Source organism: Homo sapiens, chromosome 7 (assembly GCF_000001405.40).
Source record: "Homo sapiens chromosome 7, GRCh38.p14 Primary Assembly".
In the NCBI taxonomy this organism is placed as follows: domain Eukaryota; kingdom Metazoa; phylum Chordata; class Mammalia; order Primates; family Hominidae; genus Homo; species Homo sapiens.
Window position 1 is genome coordinate 154,840,986 of NC_000007.14, and position 25,603 is coordinate 154,866,588.

The following is a 25,603-nucleotide window of genomic DNA, read 5'->3' on the forward strand; positions in this document are numbered from 1 at the left end:
GTACAAAATAGATTCCTATGTTCCAAGTACAGTTGAAGAGATAAGACATAACTAGATCACTAGAAATCAAATCAGAACTTAATTGCTCGGATCGAAAGTCATTGCAGAACTTTGAGTTACAACATGGCAGACTGTGCTCAGTGCTATGACAATCTGAGGGCGAGGGTCATACCAGGAGCTGCGAGAAGTATGCTGAGAAGGCCGGGAAGTGGGGCCAGACACTCCATCCACAGTCTAGCTGTGGGCTCAGTCGGGGCGAACGAAACAGCCAGTGGGCGCTGTACCTTTCCCCTGCAGGCTTTTGCCCACCCCTCCAAGCAGGCTTTGCCCCTCTGCAGGCTTTGCCCCCCTGTAGCCTTTGCCCCCCTGTAGCCTTTGCCCCCCTGCAGGCTTGCCTCAGCGCACAAAACTGAAATACTAAGTTCCTTCTTTCATACTTGGAATTCTGTGAATCATGTAAAACACCTGAAAACGTCACTCCAAGGGGCATAAAACTGATGCTGTGAGTTCAATGCAGATAATTCCTAACCCCTAAGGCTTTTACAAATCAACTACCCAAAGGTACGAGCTGAATTTTGGGAATGTACTGAGAACCTTCTCTTTTCTTCTTTTTTTTATGATTGGGAAGGTTTCCCTTATTCAAAATGCCTATCATGAGCCCTGAGTGTCACTAGTAATTTCTAGAGCAAGAGGTTCCCTGTGACTATAAAAAGTCAACGTGCCATTGCCTCCCCATCTTTTGTGAGCGTGTAAAACAACCCATCCATTTCCACGGCCCCCCTCGAGCCGCGCTCCTCGGACTGCTGTATGGGAAATAGGATCACTTTCAAGTTCCCTGGACACATAAAATTGGATTGAAGCAAAACTAAATGCTGTGGGGCACGGAGTGGAGGGGGTGGGGACAGCCTCAATCCCAGGTTTGATGTCAGCGATAACAAGGTTTCCAAATCAAACGGCAACAAAACCTGTCGGCAGTGTTGACTAGGAAATGCTGTCCTCGGAACAAATATTTTAATTATCCGCAGTAGTTCTGGTAGCTTGGCTAGCTCCCTGTTTATTAGTATGATAATATCACCTCAATGTATAAACTTTATGCATCAGGCATGCATAATGCATGAACGGGCAAATAAAGAGATCTGGAGCCTGTTCGCAGCGGGCCATGCCAATTATCTCGCTCGGCCAGAGCCTGCCTCTGCTCACAGCTGTTCTTTGAAACCATTCACCAATGCTTAAGAGATATCAGTGGTGCCAGCCAGGCTGTTTGAATCTCCATTGTTTACATACTAGGAGTTTAGCTGCTGGTTGGAAATTATCTGTCACATAAACATCCTCTGAGGATACAGACGAGAGGAAGGGAGACAAGCCCTGTCTTTATGAATTTTTTTTATTTATTCTGATGACTTTTTTCTTTTACAGTTTTGTGTCCTTTTTAATTACTTCGTTTTCCTCTGGAATTGTCACATTTCTCCCTCCAGTTGAGCAGGTGAAAACTAATGCTCTAAAATGCCTGGGGCTGCAAACCAGAGACACAGAAATAAATATTTTCTGTTCACAAGTCTGTTGTGTAATTCAAAGCTTTTCTTTTGGTAATCTGATTTTTTTTTTATTTTTGTCCCTCTGGTCACAGGATCTTTACAGGGCAAAAACGACCTTATATGTGGGTTGTGAATTCACTTGCTTCCATTTGTTTATTTTCCCTTCCAGGAACAATATAAATTTTGAAAGTCAGATATTGAACTTGAGCCAAAATAGTGTGTGTCACCAACCAAAGTTTTTAAAGGGCCAAATGTTGTTTTTATTGCGGTTATCTCTTCGTAAGCAAAGGCTGAGCAGATACCATCAGTTTTCTGCTATCAGCAGGCGTGCCATTGTATATTTCAGTTTGAACATCAGGGCTGTTGTTGCATGCTCCAAGGCTGCACCAGCCACGAGGCAGGCTTATTTATCAAGGACTTAGGAAATATGAGGACCAGGCAGAGAGAATCCTAGTGAACACGTTTTTGCTGATGCATATGTTCACGTGAATTTGGGAACACGCACATAAGAGTGTGTCATTAGACAAATGCATAGAGAATCAGATATCTAATATTTGACCTGAACCAGGAAGGAACTCACAATGAAATATGATTGTATGCTTTCATTTAAAAGCGTATCCTAAATACAAAAATTAGCCAGGCGTGGTGGCGCATGCCTGGAGTCCCAGCTACTTGGAAGGTTGAGGTGGGAGGATCACTTGAGCCCGGGAAGTAGAGGTTGCAGTGAGCCCAGATAGTGCCAATGTACTCCAGCCTGGGCAACAGAGCGAGACCTTGTCTTAAATAAATAAATATATAAATAACAGCATATCCTATGTTCCAAGACTAGACCTAAACATAAAGATACCAGAGATATTGGCTGGGAAAAAAACAGAAAAGCAATCCCGTGTTCTCAGCCTCTTTTCTTTCTTCTTTCCTTTCCCTCAGACTTAGACCAGAACCTCTTTGTCGGTACAGGCAGACACCATCTGCTTCCATCCTTTCCCATGACCATGGCAAATGTTGACATTGCAAAGGCAGATTCTGACCACGGAATTCTCATCTCTGGAGGAAGGTATCCCCATCACAGAGAGTTGTGACGAGGTTGAGAGAATGTCTCTAAGAGCCGAGTGCAGTACCAGGCAGATAGTAGGAAAAAAATGTTGGCTGCTGTTGTTTTTGCTGAAGCTGCTGTTGCTCTTACTAAAAGTAGACCTTAGCAAGCCTGTATCCTGCAGTTGAGATCCAGATAAGGAAAGCTGCTTACCTGGAATCACAAAATAGCTGGTCCCCTGACCCCTTCTTTACTTACAGGAGTCCCCGCATAGACCTCTGAACCATGGACCGCGTCTGGTGGTTGTACTGGCCACATGGCATCAAAGCGTATTTTCATGCAAGTCTGTCTTCCGTACTGGACTCTGAGCTCCCTAAGAGTAAATGCTTTGTCTATTTCTGTCTGTTTCCCCAGCAGCTAGCACCATGCCTTGCACATGGTGGCATCTCAATACCTATTTGTTGAATTACATGCAAAGTAAAAAAGAAACTATGAATATGAATTGTCAGAAGAATAGCAGCTAAGTGGAGTCCTAAGGTTTAGCCACAAGAATCTGTGCCAAGGCAATACAGATGGATTGTCTTACAGGCATCAGAGACAAAAGGGCAAAAGCTTCCTATTGTATGAAACAAATCATTTAATAAGTTTTACTGACCAGACTTGCATAAGATCATTTGGAAGAAGAGGAAAACAAGTAAAAAACCAATGTGGTAAAAACCCCTCATAGGTGTCCTTGGTAAAAGTATTCTCTGTTGTTTCAGATAGGTTTAAAGTGTTCCTCTTGAATGGTACCAGCTTCCCCAAAATTCTGTGTATGTTCTTCGTGTGTTCGGCATGTCCCCTCTTCTCTAGAAATCTTAGGTAAATGCTAACATGGGTCTAGTCTGGCCAAAGTAGCACAAATTTTGAGTATCTGATTCCTAATTAGGATTCTGCTTCTGTTTCCTTATTAGGAGAAAATGTATTTTGATTTAGAGAAATTGTATTTTGATTTAGATGTTTTCCTGAATTATTTGCCAGTTTTCAGGGGCCATCACAGAAACCTTGAGGCCTGTGGTGGTCCTACAGTTCACATAGACAGTAGTGGGCATGCATCCCCTGGGCCAGAGAAACCGGATGCGAAGGCGGCCTGCAGAGCCGACCTCAGACCACCAGAGGGTCTGATCTCAGGGCAGAGACTCAGTTAGACTGCCTGGGATTAGGAATCAACAGATACAAAATTATACAGAGGAGCTGTTTTTCAACTTTTGTTTAGTGGCCTCCTTAAATGTAATTTTATTCACGTTCTTTGTATTCCACTAGTGTAAAGAAGTATTCTATATTAAAATATCAGTGAAGATGGCCTGGTTGTCATATGGCTTCACAAACAGAATATAATTCCGATCTTAGACATGGAGACTGCTACCCTTGGAACTTAGTGAAAAGGGCAGGGGATTCCCTATGTACGAACAGAGAGACCACAGCCTGAATTAGAAAAACCAGGACTCCAAGAATGGTCTTGAGAGACCTTTCCTTAGCCTGATTTAAATTTGCCACCTTGATATGTCATAGCCAATTATAAGCTTGGGAGGTCATTCATTCATTAACCATTAATCTGTTCGTCAAACATTTTTATACAACGCTGAGTCCAAGGTTCAGAACAGGTGGAGGGGATGAGACATGGCTTCGTGGCCCAAGGATTTCAGAATGTGTTTGTCTTTCTGTCTGTGTGAGATGGGGTTGGAACACGGTCAGAGCAGCTATGGCTTTAAAATTGCAACTCAGTGTGACACTTGCTATTATTGGTACTTATGGCACTTTCTTCAATCACAAATTAGAAAGCACACGGGAGAAATACCTGCAGCAACGTGGTAAGAAACAATTAGCTTCTAAATAACATAAAAAACAGCAATGCCATTAAAGTGGACGAAGGATGAGAGAGGGCAGTTTGTAGTCAGGAAAACCTATGAGAAATGCAAATGTCAAGGGGGAAGGGAGGAGGGATAGCATTAGGAGATATATGTAACGTAAATGGCGAGTTGATGGGTGCAGCACACCAACATGGCACATGTATACATATGGAACAAACCTGCACATTGTGCACATGTACCCTAGAACTTAAAGTATAATAATAAAAAAGAAAGATGTCCAGCTTTACTCAAAATTTCTAAAAATTCAAACATTTACCCATTAGAGTGGTTTTAAAAACTTTTTTAAGATACAACCTAGATCTCCATACACTATCAGTTGGAGAGCAACTAGACAATATTTACTAAAATGTGAACTGTTTCGACTTTCAGTGTAGACCGTATTATTGTTCCCCATGTTTCACAGCCCCTCCCTGTAAAAAGATCATCCTCCACCCCATGGCCATGTGGCCTGCAGGGCCTCTGTGGAGATACAGACTCATCCCTGCTCTGTTGGGACCAATGGGATGCGTCTTGGCCAACAGCATGACATGGCCATGTGGCCTGCAGGGCCTCTGTGGAGATACGGACTCATCCCTGCTCTGTTGGGACCAATGGGATGAGTCTCGGCCAACAGCATGAGAGTGGACATGAACTGCACCATGTCCAGGACATTTTTTAGTTATGCAAATTATTTTTGGTAATATTTATTTTTAATTTATTTTTTATTGAGGTAAAATATACATATATAATGTATATATAAATATATATAAATAAATTATATGTATGTGTGGGTATATATATATAATTTACCAGTTTTACCATTGGAGTGGTAACAAATACATTTATATTCTTTTCTCCCCCTTCATCGTGCATTTCTGCAAGCCCCCCTTGCTCATTTCCTTTTGTTGTGAGCTCAGCCTGTTCCAGATGAAGGCTGACCTTTCAACCAGGATCCTAGAAAGAAGACGCATCCTGGAGGATAGCCCAGCAGAGCACAGCCGGGCTGCTGCAGACCTGGTTACCAGGACGCAACATTAGCGGAAAGTCAGCTTCCTTGTTTCACACCATTGAGAGTCAGGAGTTATGTGTTTGAAACCACAAGATTATTTCATGAACGTTGACTATAAAACCTTTTTGAAACAGCAACTGCAGTGCTACCAACTAGCTTAACGACAGATGCAGTCTTACCCGTGTGCAAAGATATATGTAAGAGGTTTTTCAGCAACACTGTTTTAAGATAGCAGAAAATGAAAGGAAACAACCTAAATATCCACCAGTAGACAGACAATGGACTCAATAAATTATTATATTTCCATATGATGGGATACTATGCATCTCTTCAAAAATGAAGTTTTACAACTTTTAAAAATTATTTACATCATTGTATATTATAGTATTAACCCTTCTGCTACTAGATGTTTTCGCTTAACCTTATAATCTTCATGTTGGCCCATGTCGATAGGTGTAGATCTACTAATTCATTCTGCATGCTCTATAATATTCTGCCATGTGAGTAACTGCGTTTTATTCATTTAATCTCCTGCTAATGAGTAGCTGAGTAATTTCCCATTTGTGACCTGTACATAGTTGCTGTTAGGAACAATCTTCTGCCTGCCTTCTTGTGCACAGGTGCAGAGGATGCTCTGAGATGTGTTCCCAGGAGTGGAGCCCGCAGGTCATACGCATGAGCATCTTCAGATGTCATGGATATTGCTAAGCTGTTCTCCAGAGTGGCTGTGCCCACTGACACCCCCAACACGGCTTCACCCTCTTGTAGTGGCCAGACTAGATGTCAAGACCGTACCAAATATGTTACATTGAGACATGTCATATCATACTATATATGGCATGTATATTATTATGAATACATAGCCATGTGGTAGAAATATCTTTTAAATATGCAGAGAAATGATCAACATTAACTTCAAAATGATGGTCACTTCTGGGACGAGAGAGGACTGGGATTAGGGAAGGAATGCAAATGACATCGTAGCTATTTGTTATGTCTTGTTTTTTTTTGTACTCAACACTACTTATTTATTATTGTTTTCCCCATATTCTTTTATTTTGTTTGGTTTGGGGCTCTTTCATTTTTATTCATCATTAATAATTGCATATATTTATTGGGTACAATGTGATGTTATATACATATATACATTGTGGAATGATCAAATCAGGCTAATTAACATATCTGTCACTTCACGCATTTATCATTCTTTGTGGTGAAAACATTTAAAACTCCACTCTTTTAGCAATTTTGAAATATACAATGCATTATTATTACCTAGAGTCACCATGCTGTACAATAGACACCAAAAGGTATTCCTCCCGTCTAACTGAAACTGTGTACCCTTCGACCGATAACTCCCTTTTCCCCACCTGCCGCCCCCTCACTTCAGCCTCTGGTAACCATCTTTCTACTCTTTGTTTCTACGAAATCAACATTTTTAGATTCCACATATAAGTGAGATCATGTGACATTTCTCTTCCTATGCCTGGCTTATTTCACTTAGCGTAATGTCTTCCAGATTCATCTGTGTTGTCACAAATGACACAAGTCCTTTCATCTCTAAGACTGAGTAGTTCTCCACTGTGTATATGTACCTATGTTTTAATACATTCATCTGTTGCTGGGCAGGTAGGCTGTCTCCATGTCTGGACTGTTATGAATAGTGCTGCAGTAAACATGGAAGTACAGACAGCTCTTCAACATCCTGATTTCAATTCCTTTGGATCTTTACACAGCAGTGAGATGGCTGAATCATAGGGAAATTCTATTTTTAGTTTTTTTTTGAGGAACCACCATATTGTTTTATGAAATAGTTTTACTAATTTACCTTCCCCCCAGAGCATATAAAGGTTTCCTTTTCTCCACATGCTTGCCGACACTTGTTAGCTTTTTTTTCTTTATAATAGCCATTCTCACAGGTGTGAGATGATATCTTATTGTGCTTTTAATTTGCATTTCCCCAGTGATTAGTGATGCTGAATATTTTTCATGTATCTATTTTCTATTTGCATGTCTTCTTTGACAAATTCAGGTCCTTTGCCCATTTTTAATAGGGTTGTTTGTTTTCTTGCTATTGAGTAGTTTGAATTCCTTACATATTTTGGTTATTAGCCCCTTATGTGATATATGATTTGCCAGTATTTTCAACACAATTCATGAAATGTCTTTTCACTCTATTAATTGCTTTCTTTGCTATGCAGAAATTTAGGATGATGCAATCCCGTTCACCTAGCTTTGCTTTTGTTGCCTGTGTCTTTGGGGTCCAAGCCAAGAATCATTGCCCAGACCAATGTCATGGAGCTTTTTCACTATGTTTTCTTCCAGTAGTTTTACAATTTCAGGTCTTACACTGAAGTCTTTAATCGATTTTGAGTTGATTATTGTATAAGGAGTGAGATAAGAGTCCAGTTTCCTCCTTCTGCATGTGAATAGCCAGCTTTTCCAACACCACTTATTGAAGAGACTGTCCTTTCCCCAGTGTGTGTCCTTGGCATCTTTGTGAAAAATAAATTAACTGTAGATGAATTGGTTTATTTCTGGGCTCTCTATCCTATTCCATTGGTTGATGTGTCTGTTTTTATGTTAGTACTATGCTGTTTTGATTACTACATCTTTGTAATACGTTTTGAAATCAGGCGGTGTGATGCCTCCTGTTTTATTCTTTTTGAACAAGATTGCTTTGGCTATTTGGGGTCTTTGTGGTTGCATATGAATTTTAGGATTTTTCTGTGAAAAAAATCAATTTCCTTCTGTTTCTATGAAGAATGACTGAAATTTGGATAGAGATTGCATTGAATCTACAAATCACTTTTGGTAGTATGGACATTTTAACAATATTAGTTCTTCCAATCCATGAACAAGGGATATCTTTCCATTTATTTGTGTCGTCTCCAATTTTCTTTCATCAATTTTTATAGTATTCAGTATACATATTTTTTACTTCCTTGAATTTATTCCTAAGTATCTTTTTCTTGATGCCATTGTAAATGGGATTGTTTCCTTAATTTACTTGTAGATAGTTCATTGTTAGTATACAGAAACACTGCTGATTTTTGTGTTGCATTGTGTAACCTGCAGCTTTACTGAATTTGTCCATCAGTTCTAACATTCCTTTGGTGCAATCTTTATGGTTCTCTTTACAGAAGATCATGTCATCAGCAAACAGAAAAATTAACTTCTTCCTTTACTATTTGGATGACTTTTATCTCATTTTCTTGCCTAATTGCTCTTGCTAAGACTCCCAGGACTATGTTGAATAAAAGTGGTGAGAGTGGGCATCCTTGTCTTTCTCTGATCTTAGAGGAAAAGCTTTCAGCTTCACCATGGATTTTGATGTTAGCTATGGGTTTGGCATAGATGGCCTTTATTGTATTGAGGAACATTCCTTCTATACCTACTTGTTGACAGCTTTTATCATGAAAGGATGTTGAAGCATTTGTCAAATGCTTTTTCTGCATCTATTGCAAGGATTGCATGGCCTTCATTTTGTTAATATGGTGAATCACATTTACTGATTTGTGTATATTGAACCATCCTTGCATCCCACAGCTGAATCCCACTTGTTTATGATGAATGATCCTTTTTAAAAAAATTGTTTATTTCCATAGGTTTTGGAGGAATCAGTGGTATTTGGTTACATGAGTAAGTTATTTAGTGGTGATTTGTGAGATTTTGGTGCACCCATCACCCAAGCAGTATACACTGAACCCAATTTGTAGTCTTTTATCCCTCACCCCCTCCTCCCCTTTCCTCCAAGTCCCCAAAGTCCATTGTATCATTTTCATGCCTTTGTATCCTCATACTTAGCTCCCACTTATGAGTGAGAACATACGATGTTTGGTTTTCCAATTAGTGATCCTTTTAATGTACCATTGAATATGATTTGCCAGTATTTTGTTGAGGATTTTTGCATTTATGTTCATCAGGCATATTAGACTGTAGTTGGGGTTTTTGGCGGGGGTGGGGGAGTTTGGTAGTCTCTTTGTCTGGCTTTGGTATCAGGGTAAGGCTGGCCTCATAAAATGAGTTTGGAAGTACTCCCTCACGTTCCATTTTTTGGAAGAGTTTGAGAAGGACTGGTATTAGTTCTTCTCTAAATGTTGGTAGGATTCAGCAGTGAAGCCATCAGGTCCTGGGCTTTTCTTTGATAGGAGACTTTTTATTATTGATTCAATCTTCTTACTCATTATTGATCTCTTCAATTTCTTCATGATTCGGTCTTGGTAGATTATATGTTTTTAGGAATTTATCCATTTCTTCTTGGTTATCCAATTTGTTGCCATGTAATTGTTCATAGTAGTCGCTTAAGATCCTTTGTACTTCTGTGTTATCAGCTGTAACATCTCTTTCATTTCTGATTTTATTTGCATCTTCTCTCTTTTTTTCTTAGTCTGGCTAAATTTTTGCCAATGTTGTTTAGCCTTTCAAAAAACAAACTTTAGAAAAACTAACTTAAAATAGAGCAATACGGTGTGTAATGTTAAGATTTTGTAAAGCTTGCAGATATACATGCAACCATTTTCATGTTATTTTTGTCTATGTTTAAAATACGTGCTTATGTGTAAATATGACCATGTATGTGCAGACAAACATTTAAGAACATTTTAGCAACATTTAGGTTACTTCTGGGAAGTGGGGATAAAATAGATCACTGTTACTTTATTCCTTTCTTTAGTGTCTTTTAGAAACATATATTAAGTTTATGAATTAAAAGATTAAAAGCGACTAATTCAGGCTCAGTAGCTTTTTTATTGTATGGATGAGACAAAAGACTTAAAACTATCTACACCTGTGGTTTTTTTCCTCTGTAAAATATGGTTAGAAATATCTACTTTGCAGAGCTGCTGTGAGGATTTGATTAGAAATTATTCATAAAAATATCTAACAGCATGCCTTTTACTTAGTAGGCACTAAATAAATAATAATTGTTTACATTATTAATAAGAACATAAGAGATATTCTGTTTTCAAATTTATTCACCCTGAAATGTGCAGAGAAAATACTTATAGGTTCTTTATTTTTCAATAACTGATTCTTTCTTCTACTTGAGCTCCCCATGGGGGGGAAATGAATCTTAGAGCCAAGAAACTTAGTTTGACTCAATAATTTAAACTGGCATTTAAATCTCTTTTGGTAAGTGCTGCCTCTTTGGGTATAAATATGTGGACTTTCAGATCGCTGTTCCCTCACTGGGTAGGGGGTGCCATATTTAGCAAATAAAAATTTAAGATACTCAGTTACATTTGAATTTTAGGTAAACCACAGATAATTTTTTTGTAGTATGTCCCAAATACTGCATGGGACACACTTACAGTAAGAAAATACTTATTCTTTATCTGAGCACCACATAGAACCAGGCATCCTGCATATCATCTGGCAGCCCCATCTGTGGGTGAACAGAGAGGGGCACCACGTTGGGGAAAAGGGCCCTGGACTCCTGGACTTTGTGCATGGGGTAGAGACTGGATCCAGTCCTTGGGCAACAGATAGGCCTCTTCTCTGATGTCCAAGGCCAGCATGACCCACAGTCTGTGTGTCTCAGCTCATCTGGACCTGTGGATGGGCACTGGCCAGACCTTCCACCTTACCTCTCAAGGGTAGAGGACTCCTTGCATTTCTGCCACATGCTCTTTGGGCCCTGGACTAGGGTGTCCACTCTGGGGCCTCTGCAGTGAGGCCCTGAAGCCCTCAGCATGGTGGGATCATAGCAGATTCCCTAGCTTTCAACCAGTTGTCAGACGGCCCCTCAGAAGCGTGTGGGGAGTTTTGATGATGACCGCAGGAATACTGAACTCCACCCATCCCCCTGCCCAAGATAGTGTGCATGCTTCAGCTTTGCTGTGGCCACCCCTTGTGAGTCCATGGCATCCTGGGTCCATAGCCTGAAGCAGAGCGCAAGCAGCAGCCCTGGCCACAGTGTTCCCACAGTGCATCTGTCTCCCTGGGACCACCCACTTCCCACTTCCTCTTTCTCCCTGCATCTTCCCACAATCCACCTGAGCCAAAGGGACAGGCTCTCCTGGCTCTCCTGCCTCTCCTGCCTCTCCTGCCTCTCCTCCCTCTCCTCCCTCTCCTCCCTCTCCTGCCTTTCCTGCCTCTCCTGCATGCTCTGTGCTTTCTCATTCAGCATTCACTCCACAAACATCCAATCGAGCACAACTCTATTCAAAACACCCTTCTCAATGCAGAAAACAACAGCAGTGAATCTGACACATTCTTGACTGTCTCGGAGCTTACATCCTAGTGCAGTAGATGAGGAGAAGGACAGCAAGCAAGTATGCTGATCATTACATATTATAAGGTCCCAATAGCGTAGTGTGTGGTAATGAGTTCTACAAAGATCAGGAAAGCTGTGAGAATGGAGGCTGACCACATGGTCATGGAGGGGAGTTCCTTTAGATGGGATAGTTGGAGATGGCATTTGAGTAGACATTTAAATGAAGGAAACACAGGCCATGGCAGTGTCTAGGGGCAGAGCATTTCAGGCAGTGAGAACAAGCGGCTCAGTGGGAACAAGCCTGACATGCCTCCAGCCCTGCAGGAAGGCCAGCTAGCTGGAGCCGGTGAGTGCAGAGGACAGTGGCTAAAGTAAGGTTGGAAAAGTCACCAGGCCTGCCTCTTAATGTTTTCAAAAAGATATAGAAAATAATTCAGGGAGACTTTTTTTCTTTCTTTCTGGACTCTCCTTTTGCTAAGAAGAATCGAGAAGTCACCTGCAGAGAAAACAGATCAGGGGCCACCTGGTCCTGAGTTGGACCTTCCTTCTCACTTCTCAGGGCTGCAACATTCCTGCAGCTGGGAAGCTGCCAGCTAGTGATTCAAGGAAAAACTGAAATATAGTTTGACATTTTCAAAATATTCCTGTTACATGAATACGTTTTTACAAGGTGTTATGAGAGACCCATTGGATGGAGTGACATCCTTCCTGGAGGAGCCAGCAGACTTAGCACTGAGGCTTGAGTAATTTATAAGAACCCATAAAGCCATCCTGGAATGTGTGTCTGTATGGTAAAAATGATGTTATGAGGATATAAACCAAATGTAATGCTTCATAGAATGATGTTTTATGGCATTACAATAATCTGAAAATATGGACTTTGAGTTGGGTGTGTTGCAGTTAACACAGGTGCAGAGGTAGGGAGCTGTGCCTTGGCCCCCCTGCCGGCCTGGCCTCTGCCATCCCATCATTGATTACTCTTGCATGAATTCGGGTTCTCCAGGCTCCGCACGTCTATCTACGTGGCATAAGAAAAGCCTGTTTTCTTGTTCTCGGCTAAACTAATGGCTTCGTTTTTGTTTTCTTCCTGGCTATTCTCTACCCAACACAGGTCCTGGTGTTCCTATGGTGACGGTGCACAACACAACAGATAAGAAAAGTAAGTGCTCTTTTTTTTCCTTAAATCTTCCTGAGACTCAGGAGAAAGGAAGCAAAACACTCTATGAGATCAGCTGGCCCACATTCTCCTACTCAGAGACAGAGGGATGAGTCATGTCCTAGCAGTTCAGAATAGGCCATGCTGATCACCAATATCAACGAAATATGATGAAAGTCAAAGTCCGCATACCCCTGCCAGAGGGCCCCACACCCCTTCACAAGTGCTGAGCCTGGAGGGTCATTCCAGGCCTACCCAGGTCATAGACTGACATCCTCTGAACAGCCAGCTCAAAAGGCTTTGTAGCCTCACATGAGTCCGTCCCCACTGAGAACCTGCCATGTGGCACCAAGACTTGAGGGGCACATGGAGGCTCATCTGTCTTTGTGGGTCTGGGAGCTTCACGGCATGGAGGGTCTCTGCATCCATGCTGCACAGGATATCAGAGAAAAACTTATTCTGCCATTTGTAAAATGGTAGGGAAGGCTTTTTCAGGACTGTTGTGAAAGGGGAGGGAGATTCAGGCTCAACTTTGAATACAGCAAGATCCCGTGGGGGTTTATAGCCAGTGACCAGAGAAAGGGGTCCGTGGATGGAAAACTGCTAAGAGAAGGCATCAGTGGGAGGCGATTTTTGCTAAGCTGACCTCACAAGATCCTTGCTGAAGGCAGGACAAGGACTTAGGCTCAAAGGTGGAGGACGAGGAACAGTTACGGAGGGTGATCAGATATCAGGGGTGGAGACCTCTTGCTAAAGCTGGGCAATGCAGGCCGAAGACAGGTTAGGATCAAGGTTGAAGCCTGGTCAAGAAGAGGACTCAGAGGAGCCTCACTCAAGTTTGGTCAAGGAGAGTCTTTGAAAGACTTCCCAGGGTCACTAGAGGTGGCATGTGTTTGCTTGGAGGGACCCCACACAGGTTGCCACGGGCACATCCGTGTTTACGCGAGGGATGTGTGCTGTGTGCAGTGGGAGGCAGAGGCACAGCACAGCTGAGAAGCAAAGAGAACTCGCCCTCGGTCCCTCCCTTTCCAGCCCTCCCTCTGTCTAACCCAAAGCAGCCTGTGTCCTCCTTCCCCCGAATCCTTCCCACTCCCTTCCACATTCAGGAACCCCTTCCCTGGCAGGAGGGCAAACTTCATGGCCCGGGTCCGCAGTTCCCCTAGGTCTGGGGACAGAGGTGACTCCGTGTCTCCAGTGACCATCGAGCATCAGCGGCTCCCTGATTCCTATCTCTGTGGTGGTACTTCAAGCTCCAGGAGAACTGGAGGCGGCGGCGGTGAGGCGCATGTTGGAAAGGAGGCTCCAAACGTGTGTTTAGACACCGTGAAGTGGTCAAACTGTTCCAAAGTGGGCAAAATAGATTCGTTTAAAGAGACAGCACTTAGCCAATAATCCCAAATAATGATGATAGTCTGCCAAGCTATCAAATCATTATTAGAAATACAAAACCAAAGCATAAGTAATCATAAAACCAGAAATAAATTAATAGATTTTAAAGCCCCCACAAAAAGCCATAAAGTGGATGTCAGAATGGATATACAAAAACACTCAGAATGGCCGTTGGAGGGACCCCGTGCTGAGAAGAAGCGGGATGGCCTTCCTGTGCTCCTCCCCAGAGGAGGGGCTGGTTTCCCCAGCAAAAAGGTTCACCTGCTCCCAGGCTGCTTTCCAGCCTCACCTGCGAGGTTTGGGAATCTGGGCCATTTGAGCAATGGGGGCGGTATCCCCGGAAGGATGTTGGGCGCGATTGCCTGGGTCTCTCACCTCCCCACTGCATCCACCCACCCTCTGCCCACTCTAAGGGGCACGAGGCTGTGAAGGGCCCTCCAGGAGGCCGCAGAGGCCAAGCTAGAACTTCCACCAAGGCCTGGGGTCGGTGGAGTCTGACAGACATACTCCGGCATGACAGTGAATGTTTGAAACACCTGTGCTAGACCTCTTTAGGTGGAATTTTCCCTGAAAAAATGCCGATGTTGCATAGAGCCTCAACTGTGACATCTTTTTTTTCCTTAAGCAAATGTATATTTTCATTTTGAGTATTTGATAAGATTTAGAGTCCATGGACACCTTTCTGGTATTTGTGAGGTTTTCCCCTTCTTGAAAATTGATGGTCTGGTAGAAATTAGATAAGGTGTCCAATGGAGCTCACAGCATTGCAGCCTCCCGGGTTAGCTGTTGCCCGATGGTTCTGTGAGATGCCACCACTGAAGACCCGGAAGTGGAGACACAGGACTCTATGCACTATTTGTGCAACTTCCTAGGAATCTATAATTATTTCAAATTTAAAAGTTTTTTCTAATCTGTGGTCTAATAAAAAACACAAAAGTATCTTTCAGCTTTGAAAAATATGATATAGCATATGGCTCTTCTTACAAAAGTCATTCCCTTAAATGCTTTTTACTTCTTTGGAGGAAGCTATTATTAATCTATTCAAGTTCAAAGGTTAATATAGTCCCTACTTTTGGGAAATGCATTTTGACTTCTAAGCCACTTCCAGCCTGGATGTGATCAGTCCTTGGGGCTCCTAAAGCCTCCCACGGTGCTGGATCAAGTCAACACAGTTTCCAAGGCTCATGTGTGAGTGAAAATGAAGCCGGCCTGTATCTTAGGTGTGTGTGACACTGTTGAGAAAATATTTCATTTATTCCATTTATAAAAATAAGGTAATCTATAGGTGGGCTGAGGTGCAATTCTTCGGAAGAGAGTCCCAGTAAGAATTGACCAAATGTCTTCCAGCAAGTGCAACATGCTAATATGCTCAAAGATCCAGGAAATTTTGTTAACTCTGCTGGGAAACAAAACAACCACTTCTTTTCCTCTGTAGGACTGGCTACTACATTAACCAATCAATCCAATCAATATTGACAGACCATAGGCCCTAGGTTGCCATCCATATCCGTTGCGGAGCTGCATAAATGGGAATTTTTTAGGAAGCATTTCGCCGTTTGCAGTTGAGCTGTCACTTTGGTGACTGTGACTCCCTGAAGCAAAGAGATGGGACCCAGCGGCTTAAGAAATAAAAAGCACTGTGCACACAGGATGGGGCTGGCGTTACATGCCTGTACTCCCTTCTTCTCTGTGTGAAATTTAACAGTGAACCTGAAGGTGACACCATTGCGCTTGATCTCAGCAAAGTGCTGACTAATTGGAAACTGGACGGCGTTTAGAATTATTTTGGTCACATTTATTTTACGAGCCTATTTATATAGCAGTGTTTGACTCTGGGTTTCCTGGAGCCTAATTCAAACTCTAGGAATATTTCATCCCGCCCTAGCCTGTTTCTGCATTTCTGGCTGTCAATGTAGTTCAAGCTCTTTCAGGATGGTAACTTAAGCTGCCATTTTAACTTGGAAAAAAAAATGATTAAATGTGGTTGAGTTGATTGTCGTTCCCATCCCCAGGAGGACAGTAGGGGTCCCATCTTGCTCAGTGTCTATGTTACATTCAGACTTCATGATTTGAGGGGTTCCAGGTTCCTGAACACCCACTTTTTCCCCATGCCTGGATAAAAGTGCCTGAAATCCCTTCCTTGCACGGCCATCCCTGAGGGTTGGCACATCATAGCTGCACGAATGGCTTTGAGTCCACCTGGGAAATAAGAGTGAGTGTGGCAGGGCCTGGTAAAGTGCCAAACCCAGCCCTGAGTTCCAGCCTCCAGGTGTTTGCCATGGGAGGCGTGTGGGGTTTCTTCAGTGTGTTTACCTTTTGATATGTCTGATGTCCTCTTGCAGCACTTCACAGCCCATCTCCAACCCAGCTGTGTCTTCCCCAAACAAAATGCACTGAGTTTTCATTTTGTCTGTCAAACTGGTGCATCTTGGATGAGAAGGCAGGTGCCTGGTGCTTCCAGGCCCCCAGTTCCAGCAGCATCTTGTTCGTGGTGTGGTTGGACCACATCAGAGCCTCCTCGTGGCCTCTGCAGTGGATGAAGGGTCCACAGCATGTGGTTTGCGGGGGGATGTGCATATCAGGCAGCCGACAAAGCCATTGTCAGGCCAGCACTTCACACATCAGCCTTTGGGCCTCAGGTAAGCTTGAGATCAGTTGTCCTCTTTCACGATTGAAAAGGCCGCTGAAGACTTCCAGGAGCAACACAAAGGCAGGCAGTGAGTCACCCATCCCTGCAGATGCCTGTTTCATCCAAACACTCAGCCAGCTAGCGGTTCTGCATCGTCAGGATTCTGCAAAACCCCACACCACTTGTACTTGTTCCATTTGATGCTCCATCCTGAACAACTCAGACAACCGTGTTCTGATCAGGGGGCCAGAGAAAGGCTGGAGGTCACAGGGAGCCATGGTAGTAACAATAGTGGCCCCAACCAGCATTTATCAGCACTTGCTCCGGGGCAGGGTGCTGTGGCAAATACTTGACATATTTTAACTCATTTCATCCTCTCAACAGCCTGTGAGGCAGGAACTGCTATTATCCCCACTTGTCAGCTAAGGAAGCTGAGGCACCACAGCTTAGGTGATCGGGCCACATGCATGCAGCGAGGAAGCAAAAGCAGAGGAGTTGCATCTCGGACGCAAGCAGTGCGGCTCCAACAGAGCCTGTTCTTCCAGACATGTGGTCATTGCATGGCGCTGCTCAGCCGCCTGCCCTCATGCGGTCTGAAGGACAACTGCAAATCCAGAGCGATGCCCGGCCTGCACTCCCATTGAGATGAGTCTGGGGAGGCAGAAGCAGTCACACCTGCAGCTCGTTCTCAGCACCTTCTCCGCCCATACACCACCCCCGGGGTCCATCCGAGCCAGCTCTGGGGTGAGCGTGCGGCACGGCACCTTCTCCTGCTCTGAGAAGCCTTCCACGTCACAGGGAAGAGATGCTCCTCAGGCCCTGGTGGCTGTTAAACCTGTGGGAGCCCCGTCGAATTAAGGGCTCTGCTTCCTGCAGCAGCTCAGCCTCCATGTGCAGGCTGGGGTCATACTCCATGCACTGTGAGAGCTCAGCCCTTGAACTTCACCCTCTAATGGCAGCCCCTTAGCCCCCAGGCAGCAGTCTTTGGCTAGCCATCCATTATTCTCTTTTGAATGTAATCGTAGCAGCAGTTCTGGGCTCTCCACACAGCACCAGGCCCCTTCCTTGTACCAACCCTATGAGGTTCAACAATTCATCTGAGATCCACAGCAAACTTCAGGGCGAGGCCCGGACTCTTGTCTTATCTGACTACCAAGCAGGCGCTCTTGACTGTGGGCTGGGGGCTGATACCAGATGTCTGACAAGGGGGGAAAGGCAGCCCCAGACCCCAAGACCCAGGATCTCCTGGCCTTCACGTCGCTGCCATCTGGGAAATGTGCTCACAGCAGCAGCCTCTGTGACCACTGAGCTGCTGGTCAAAAATCACCCCTGGTTTAGATCAGCCCTGGTGAGGCCATGCCAGCACAGGCATTTGCACCTCACGCCTCTGTTGAACAGTGTGCAAAGCAGCAGCGCTTCCAACCCGCGCTGTGGGGCTGAGCCAGGAAAGCGGGGCCCATGGCCTACAGCTGGGCAGGGCAAGACAGGAGGCCTCGGGGAGCCGGCTCCTGAGCCGCTGTGTGACGCCATGACTGGCAGCTGAGGTGTGGCCCACGTTCTGTTACAGGGCAGAGCCTCGGCACTGTGCGTCAGCTAGCAAAGGGGGCTCTGGAAGGCTGGGACCCGTCTTTATCATACTATCCTCTCCCAGCCCTGCTGTGAAATTTGAAATTACTGTTTCAGAATTCTTTGTCCTTTCCCCTCCTCTCCCCCACTGACCCCAAAACCACCCTGGGAATATTTGACTTTTTTCCTCTTTAGAAAATCTTATCTACAAACAGAGCCTGCGGGGTGTTCACAGATGTGACTCTGAATTATTTAAAAGCTGTTTCCTTAAGAAGGTAATTATGGTTGGGACCAACCTATACTCATTTGGTGCCTGGATATTCAAACAAACAACTTAGGTACTGGGATAAAAAAACCAACAAAATCATAGTGAATACATTGCGGGCTTTAATGTAAATATGAAAGGCAGGCCCACTTAGAGACGTGGATGCCAACTCGACGTGTGGGAGTCGAAATTGCGGTGTGGCTTGCAATGCAGCCCCACAGCCATGCAGAGAAAGCGTGCGTGTGGCGGGGTTGAAGCTGGCTACACTGGCTGACAGCACCCCACAGCGGCCTGCAAGCGCATGTGGGAGCTTGGGATCACTAGGCAGCCTGGTTCCCACTCCTTTATGGCATCAAAAGTTAGGTTTCTCTACCTCCTACTCTCTTCATTTGGGTCTTTGTAAGAAAGCAAAAACAGCCCCTACCACCAGTGGTGCCCAGGTGGGTCCATGAAGCAACGCCAGATGCAGTTGGTTTCCAGCCTCTGTTCCTGCACCAGTGCTGCTGGGCGCACCCCTGCCCCACCTTCTCCCTGAGGCACCCCCTCCTAGACTGTCAAGGCTGTGCCCACAGCTCCCCTTCCATCAAGCACAGGGCGCCCACACATGGAGAGACATCAGGAGCATGGCATTCCAGAGGGCCCACATGTCACTGTCACGCTACACGCCAAGGAGTTTGCCCGCCATCCTGCAGGACCCAGGAGGAGCACTGTCAGACGTCCCTCTCGAAAAGCTTCTGGTCGCTGTGCAGAGAATGGATGGAAGGACCCCAGGTTGCAGACAGGAGGGCTGCTGGGGGCCATGGTGGAAAGGATGAGAGTCTGGACCAGCAGGGGGGCCTCCAATGAGGGGCTGCCTCTGCAGGCCCTGCAGGGAGAGATGCACCTGGAAAGGGGCCGAAGAGCTGCCATCTCAATCCAGTCCAGGGAGGTGTGGCACTTGCTGGGGTGGCGAAGCATCATACAGAATCCTACAGCCTGTGGCCCTCAAAACCTGGGTCTTGTCCAGTCCTAACAAAGAAGGAACAGCCCCGCTGCCTCCTTGGGTGCAGCAGCAGGCGACTGGGTGGGTGTCTGGAGAGTAGGTCCTCATGCCTCTCACCCTGCAGGCCAACTGGGCAAAGCCCTGGCTCTCAGAAACAGTGGCCAGGACACAGCGGGCAGCTGCCCCATCACAGCCGTGGAGCCACCACCAAGGTTGGGGCCGTCCAGCAAATGCACAAACCCATTTCAGACCTGGAGATAAAAGCCAGCTCTTTCCTGCAGATCATATGGGGCAGAACCAAAAAGACTAAAAATGTAAAAAGATGATGAAGGAAAGTAAATGTTAAAAGAAAAAAAATTTCGAAAGCAGCCTGGTGCCTAACTTCAGCCCTAGGTCTTAACATGGCTGCATCAGGCAAGTTTCTACCTAAGACCCACAGCTTTCAAATATTTTAAGGAGCAATTTGGTGGCCAAAGAGAGAAAGTCTCATTATAAAGTGGCCTTTATGTGAGGGGACCTTGCCAAGTCATGCCAAGACAGAGGACACTGGGCCATCTGTCCTCAAGTAGTTTTTGCTCATGAATCCCTAAGATAATTTTTGAAAAATCATGTTTCCCCTACACATTTTTAAGTTGTCACCTAAAGTTTTTCTCATTAATTCAAAGCTGTACAAAATAAGTTTTTAGCATATTTATTTTAAAATAAAAGTATTACATAATCCTATGATATCTAAGTATTGTGGCAATTTGATACTTACCACTGCCCAGTTAAACATTTCTGGAACAAGTTCTTCTTAGCTTTACATCCTTCCTTTTCCTCCTCGAGCTGATATTTACATTCCATTTGTCCGCCCGTCACCCCAGAATTCTGTCCTAACGTCATTTAATCTTGGAAATATTTTAAAGGTCTTTTCTTTTTAACTTCCGGTGACCATAAGGCCATAATCATTACTTGTTGGATGGAATTATTATCATAATTATCACTTGTTCACATCAAGCAATTAGGATACATTACATACTTTGATAATTGTTGGACATAAAAAGTTATGATTGCTCTGAGATGCATCTCTTAGCGAGCTGGGTGTGGTGGTTTTTCACTCAGTTCATGAGCACACCTGACTCATTTCCAGAGAAGACCTTGTCAGAAACGTGTGCGCTCCTGGTTTTTCCCTCCTTTTGGTGGTCGCTTCTTTTTGTTTCTGTAGAATGTCTGAAAATGTGTTCATGTAAATAAATGGAGAGAGAGGAGTCTTGTTATAGCAGTGCCATTTTCACTGAACGCCTGAGCTATATGCCAAAACATTGTGGCCCATCCATTCTCTGTCATTAAGGATTATTTTCAATGATCTATTGATTTTTAGCTCAGTGAGATTCCCCTTCCATTTTGTTAAAATCAAAGGATGACAAGCCGACCATGTTACTGGGGGCTCTTACCCATTACTGGGGGAGTTCTCTTACTGAACTCAGCCTTGGTGGTCCCTCATCCTTCATGTGGAGCCCACCTGTGTACAAGATGCCCCAGGGACAGATGAGGGGGCTCCAAGGCCTTCCTTGCCCTCGTGACGCCTGTGTCAGGCCATGATGAAAGAGGCACAGGAAAGGAGCAGTTCCTTGGAGCGAATCAGGCATGTCCATTCTCAGCACATTTGCCAGCAGGCTCCTATGGATGCAGAGAGCCTGGGAACCAGTCTCCTGAATCCCACGTGTCTGCACTCGAAATCTTCTGGACCCACAGGGTTGCACGCGTGAGCAGCTGTCCTGGTGGGTGGAGTGTCTGCAGATTTGCTGTTGGAACGTGTTAGACTTCAGTCCAGCATTTGGGTGGGCAAGCTGGCATTTGGCTAACACAGAGTGGAAAGCAAGCCACGCATGGAGCTGCACGCCCTGCAGGATGTCTGCAGGTGCTTCTTCCTCTCTACTACCTAATGCGGGAGGAGAGCTGGGCTTCGCTGCCACCCAGCAGCTCTCGGTGCCTCGAGGAGCACCTGCAGGCTGGGCACTGTGCCAGCCACTGCACCCGCTCATCCGTGGGCTGGAGGACACACACATGAGTCCCCTCAATGCACAACTCCTCTGGCATCAAACACCTGCCATGGGCCCAGCATGATGCTAGAAGGACCAAAAATAAATGCCACCTACTGGGACCCTGCCCTCAAGTTGCTTAAAATCTGGCTGGAGGAAAAAAGATATGGCAAAAAGAATAATAGTTGCCCAAACTGTGTCAGACTGACTCTAACAACTCAACATTCGGAGTTCAGAGAAAAGAGGCTGGGTGCTGTGGCTCACACCTGTAATCCCACGAAGGTGGGAGGACCTCTTTTTCTTTTTTGACCTCCTGGGCTCAAGCAATCCTCCCACCTCAGCCCCACAAGTAGCTGGGACTACAGACATGCATCACCATGACTGGCTAATTTTTACATTTTTCTTTGGAGAGATCAGGTCTCCCTATGTTGCCCAGGCTGGTCTCGGACTCCTGGACTCAAGTGATCCTCCTCCCTTGGCCTCCCAAAGCATTGGGATTACAGACGTGAGCCACCGCACCCGAACCCTTTCCTTTGTCTTTTCTATTTTGTTCATAAAGCATGTCTCTGTTGATCACTGCATGTATATGTGGAGGGAAGGACAATATGATTTTAAGAAATGTAATATTTAGCATCTTGGCCCCAAGATTCTACAATCCTTTCATAGGATTTTTTTTTTTTTTTGAGATGGGGGTCTTGCTCTGTCACCTAGGCTCAAGGGGAGTGGTGCAATCACAGCTCAAGCTATCCTCCCACTGCAGCCTCGACCTCCAGAGCTCAAGCTGTCCTCCCACCTCAGCCTCCTGAGTAACTGGGACCACAGGTGTGTGCCACCATGCCTGGATTTTTTTATGTTTATATTTTGTAGAGATGGAGTTGGGATTACAGGTGTGAGCCACTGCACCCAGCAAGGAAGATCTCTTGAGTCCAGGAGTTTGAGACTAGCCTGGGAAACACAATGAGACCCTACCTCTGCAAAAATTACAAAATTTAGCCGGGCATGGTGGTGTATGCCTGTAGTCCCAGCTGCTCAGGAGGCTAAGGTGGGAGGATTGCTTGAGCCCGGGTGTTCGAGGCTGCAGTGAGTTATGATTTCACCACTGCACTCCAACCTGGCTGCAAGACCCTGTCTCAAAAAACAAAAATGGAGCTCAGAGAAAAGAGATTTCCAGTTAAGGTGAGTAAGTTTAAACAGTAGTCATGCGGGCTCTGGGCCTGAATCTGGTCTTCGAATATGACTAATGGCCTAGCCCTGGGGTAAGCGGACGGCAGCTGCAAGAGCACAGGGAGGGGGCGAGGTGGGGCAGAGAGGGGTCCTACTGATGGCCGCAGGGGAAGGTGCACGTGAGGAGTGAGCAGAAATACAGCAGGAGAGGCCTGGACTAGAAAGGCACAGAAAACCCAGGCAGGGGAAGTCAGGCCAAGGCAACAGGGAGATGCCGGAGAGACTTCTGCCTAAGCCTCTGCGTGCACACACCATCCTGCAGTTTTATTTCTTGTAGAAATGTGAGAAAGGGAAGCGGCTGCTCTCTCCTCTTTTAGATCCGTTGCCTATTGGTGTTCATTGGATCTGGTCACCAATTTTCCAAAATTTAGCACAGTGGTGATTCCATCAATCCCCTGAACCTGCCGGGCCACTTGGAAGCATGTCTTGCAACAGTGCACAGCTACACCACGACCTGCCCATGGGACGCAGCGAGGGAAGCAGCCTCATGAGCAGGCCTGAGTCTCTGCGGTCTCACTGTGTCCAGATCTGATAATAGCTAATTCCACCAAATATTAGAGGGGGCTCACATTTAATTAAAGAGTGGCCATTTGTGTGCTCCAGACTGGAGGTCCCCACTGCCCTGAAGTCAAAAGAAAAGTCCTTCAGGGAATATGCCAATCTTTTCTTATTTCTCTGCTGAGCTCCTGCCCTCTTTGAATGCAATTATGGGAACAAATAAAATGGCTTAACTCAAGTCCCCTGTGGGACAGTCAGCTCTCTGCTGATAAAACCAGTTGTGTGGGCAATCATTAAATGAGAAATCTAATATTTAACTAAATTTAATAGTCTGTTGCTTTGGTGCTTTCCTGTGAAGGGTGGGATTTCAATAGAGAGGAACGAGGTATTCACACGCAGCCTGTGTAGTCCATGAGCGATTAGAACATGGTGCGTTCCCACATGAAACCAGAACTCTCAGATCCGGAAACTGGTAACGGGCTGTTTGGTGGCCAGCCTGTGTTCCGTTAGCTCTAGGCAAGCTTAACTCAGTAGGCAGCAGAGAACATTGCTCCCTGAGTTTAACCTTCTCCTTCATGACCAGCATTTGAGATCGCACACTGACGGCTGAAACATCAAATTCACATGCATATATATGGAGACAAGAGCGTACTTTAACCAGCTGTAAGAGGGTCTGTCCCCATTTTCTCTCAGTTTGAGATTTGGCCATCCAGACAGGCTCTTGCCACTAGCAGACCCCCCCAGCTGAAGCCCTTTCTGGGACCCAGAAGCAGAAGCTAACTGATAGCAAGAAGCCCATCTCTGTTCTCATTGGTAGGGTCTTTCTACCTTTGCTCCTGCCAGTTCCCCTGATCTTCATCGGTTGTCACTTCCATCATTTGACCCACATTTGCACACCCCAAGTTCCTCACCTGTTTTGCACCTGGGATGATCATGTCAGCAGGCAGAGGAGCAGAGACCACAGGTTCTCCAAGGGTTACAGCTGAGGCGTCGAGATGACCTCATGAGATCGAGGCACTGGTCTCCTACAATAAGCTGGAGTTTGGAGCGTGTGGATGAACTGCCTCATAGTCCCAGAGTCGAGTGAATTAACTTAGGTGCATCATTAGTCTCCTAAACATCAGAAAATTTTCCATCAACTTCTAAACACCAGAAACTTTTCCATCAACTTCTAAACACCAGAAACTTTTCCATCAATTTCTAAACACCAGAAACTTTTCCATCAATTTAATGCAGTTTGCTTTGGGTCCTCGGGTCTGAGCTGTGTGGGAAACACTGGTTGATAGTCTGGCCTCAGTTTTTCCAACTCTTACCGTTCAAGAGATCTGAGCCCTGAAGACCTTTGCAGCTTCCTGAGACACTCAGGAGGACCTCTCCTCGGTCCTGTTTAGTTTCCTGGGGCCACATGGGAACAAGGAGAAAGACTTGGGTAGAAACCCAGACTCGTTACCATCTAAAGATGCTTAATTTCCAAGATATGAATCGATTTTCCACAAACCCATCTACCCCGGGTACCCAAAACTAGTGCATTTCGTCTCTGGGATAGGACTGAACACTGATACCTTGGCGAGGGGTAGGGAGAAGGATTTGCTGCCAGGAAAATGACCAAAACTTTCATTTGGTGTTAAGTGTATCCAGAGAGCTTGACAGGTGCCTGAGATAGGGTGGTCAGGTCCCTCTTGGAGGAGGTAACGCTTGCGTTGATGGAGGAGAAGGAGCTAGCAAGGAAGATTTCAAACACAGGGCAGCACGTGCAAAGGCCCTGGGGCAGCAAAGAGCTTGGGAAATGCTGTTCTCTTCATTACCAGGCAGCACTCCCTGCTAGTCTTCCTTTCCTGTAACTGTGAATAGAACATGAATGATATGCAGTCACTGTCTCATAAACCAACTCCTCTCACCTGAGTGTGTGCCTGGAGCATTGCATTAAAGGGCTGAGGGCATTTGGACTCAGCACCAATGAGTGCTGCCGCCCATCCATTAGGAACATGGGCTGAGGCTGTGAAGCTGGCGCAGGGGCATGCAGGCCCCTTGGGGTGGAGTGCACCTCCCCTAACTCACGTGCATGCCTGTGAGGGAGAGTGCGCCACCTCTGCAGCCAAGTCTCTGGGTCTCAGAGTTAAGGTCAAGTCTACTTGGACTTCCCTTGGACTTCACCACTGCAGACACCCCTTGCAGACGTAGCTGTGTTTC

At 45.3% G+C, this 25,603-nt stretch overlaps 1 protein-coding gene and 1 long non-coding RNA gene across 13 annotated transcripts in view, besides 2 other annotated features; one reads left to right on the plus strand and one right to left on the minus strand.

Moving 5' to 3' along the window:
• The window catches only part of DPP6 (dipeptidyl peptidase like 6), a 1,146,153-nt gene that overhangs the window by 1,092,853 nt on the left and 27,697 nt on the right, over nt 1-25,603 (plus strand). For 11 of the 12 annotated variants that reach the window (NR_157195.2, XM_047419951.1, NM_001364500.2 and 8 more), the window contains one exon: nt 12,795-12,842. Coding sequence is in view for 10 of the 12 variants with exons in the window: in XM_047419951.1 (XP_047275907.1) it covers nt 12,795-12,842 (48 nt within the window). In the remaining 2 variants the exon portion in view is untranslated. Of the gene's footprint in view, nt 1-12,794; nt 12,847-25,603 lie in introns of all 12 variants that reach the window. The other variant, NR_157196.2, reaches the window with a different exon arrangement.
• The window catches only part of LOC105375580 (uncharacterized), a 41,837-nt gene that overhangs the window by 15,239 nt on the left and 995 nt on the right, over nt 1-25,603 (minus strand). The window contains exon 2 of the long non-coding RNA XR_928190.3: nt 24,325-24,526. This is a non-coding gene — a long non-coding RNA (uncharacterized LOC105375580). The remainder of the gene's footprint in view (nt 1-24,324; nt 24,527-25,603) is intronic.
• Nucleotides 16,143-16,797: an enhancer, noted in NCBI's record as "NANOG-H3K4me1 hESC enhancer chr7:154648838-154649492 (GRCh37/hg19 assembly coordinates)". NCBI's record gives its function as "activates a minimal SCP1, AML or CMV promoter by ChIP-STARR-seq in naive H9 embryonic stem cells {active_cell/tissue: H9 hESC(naive)}" and the evidence as "EXISTENCE:reporter gene assay evidence [ECO:0000049][PMID:30033119]".
• Nucleotides 16,798-17,451: an enhancer, noted in NCBI's record as "NANOG-H3K4me1 hESC enhancer chr7:154649493-154650146 (GRCh37/hg19 assembly coordinates)". NCBI's record gives its function as "activates a minimal SCP1, AML or CMV promoter by ChIP-STARR-seq in naive H9 embryonic stem cells {active_cell/tissue: H9 hESC(naive)}" and the evidence as "EXISTENCE:reporter gene assay evidence [ECO:0000049][PMID:30033119]".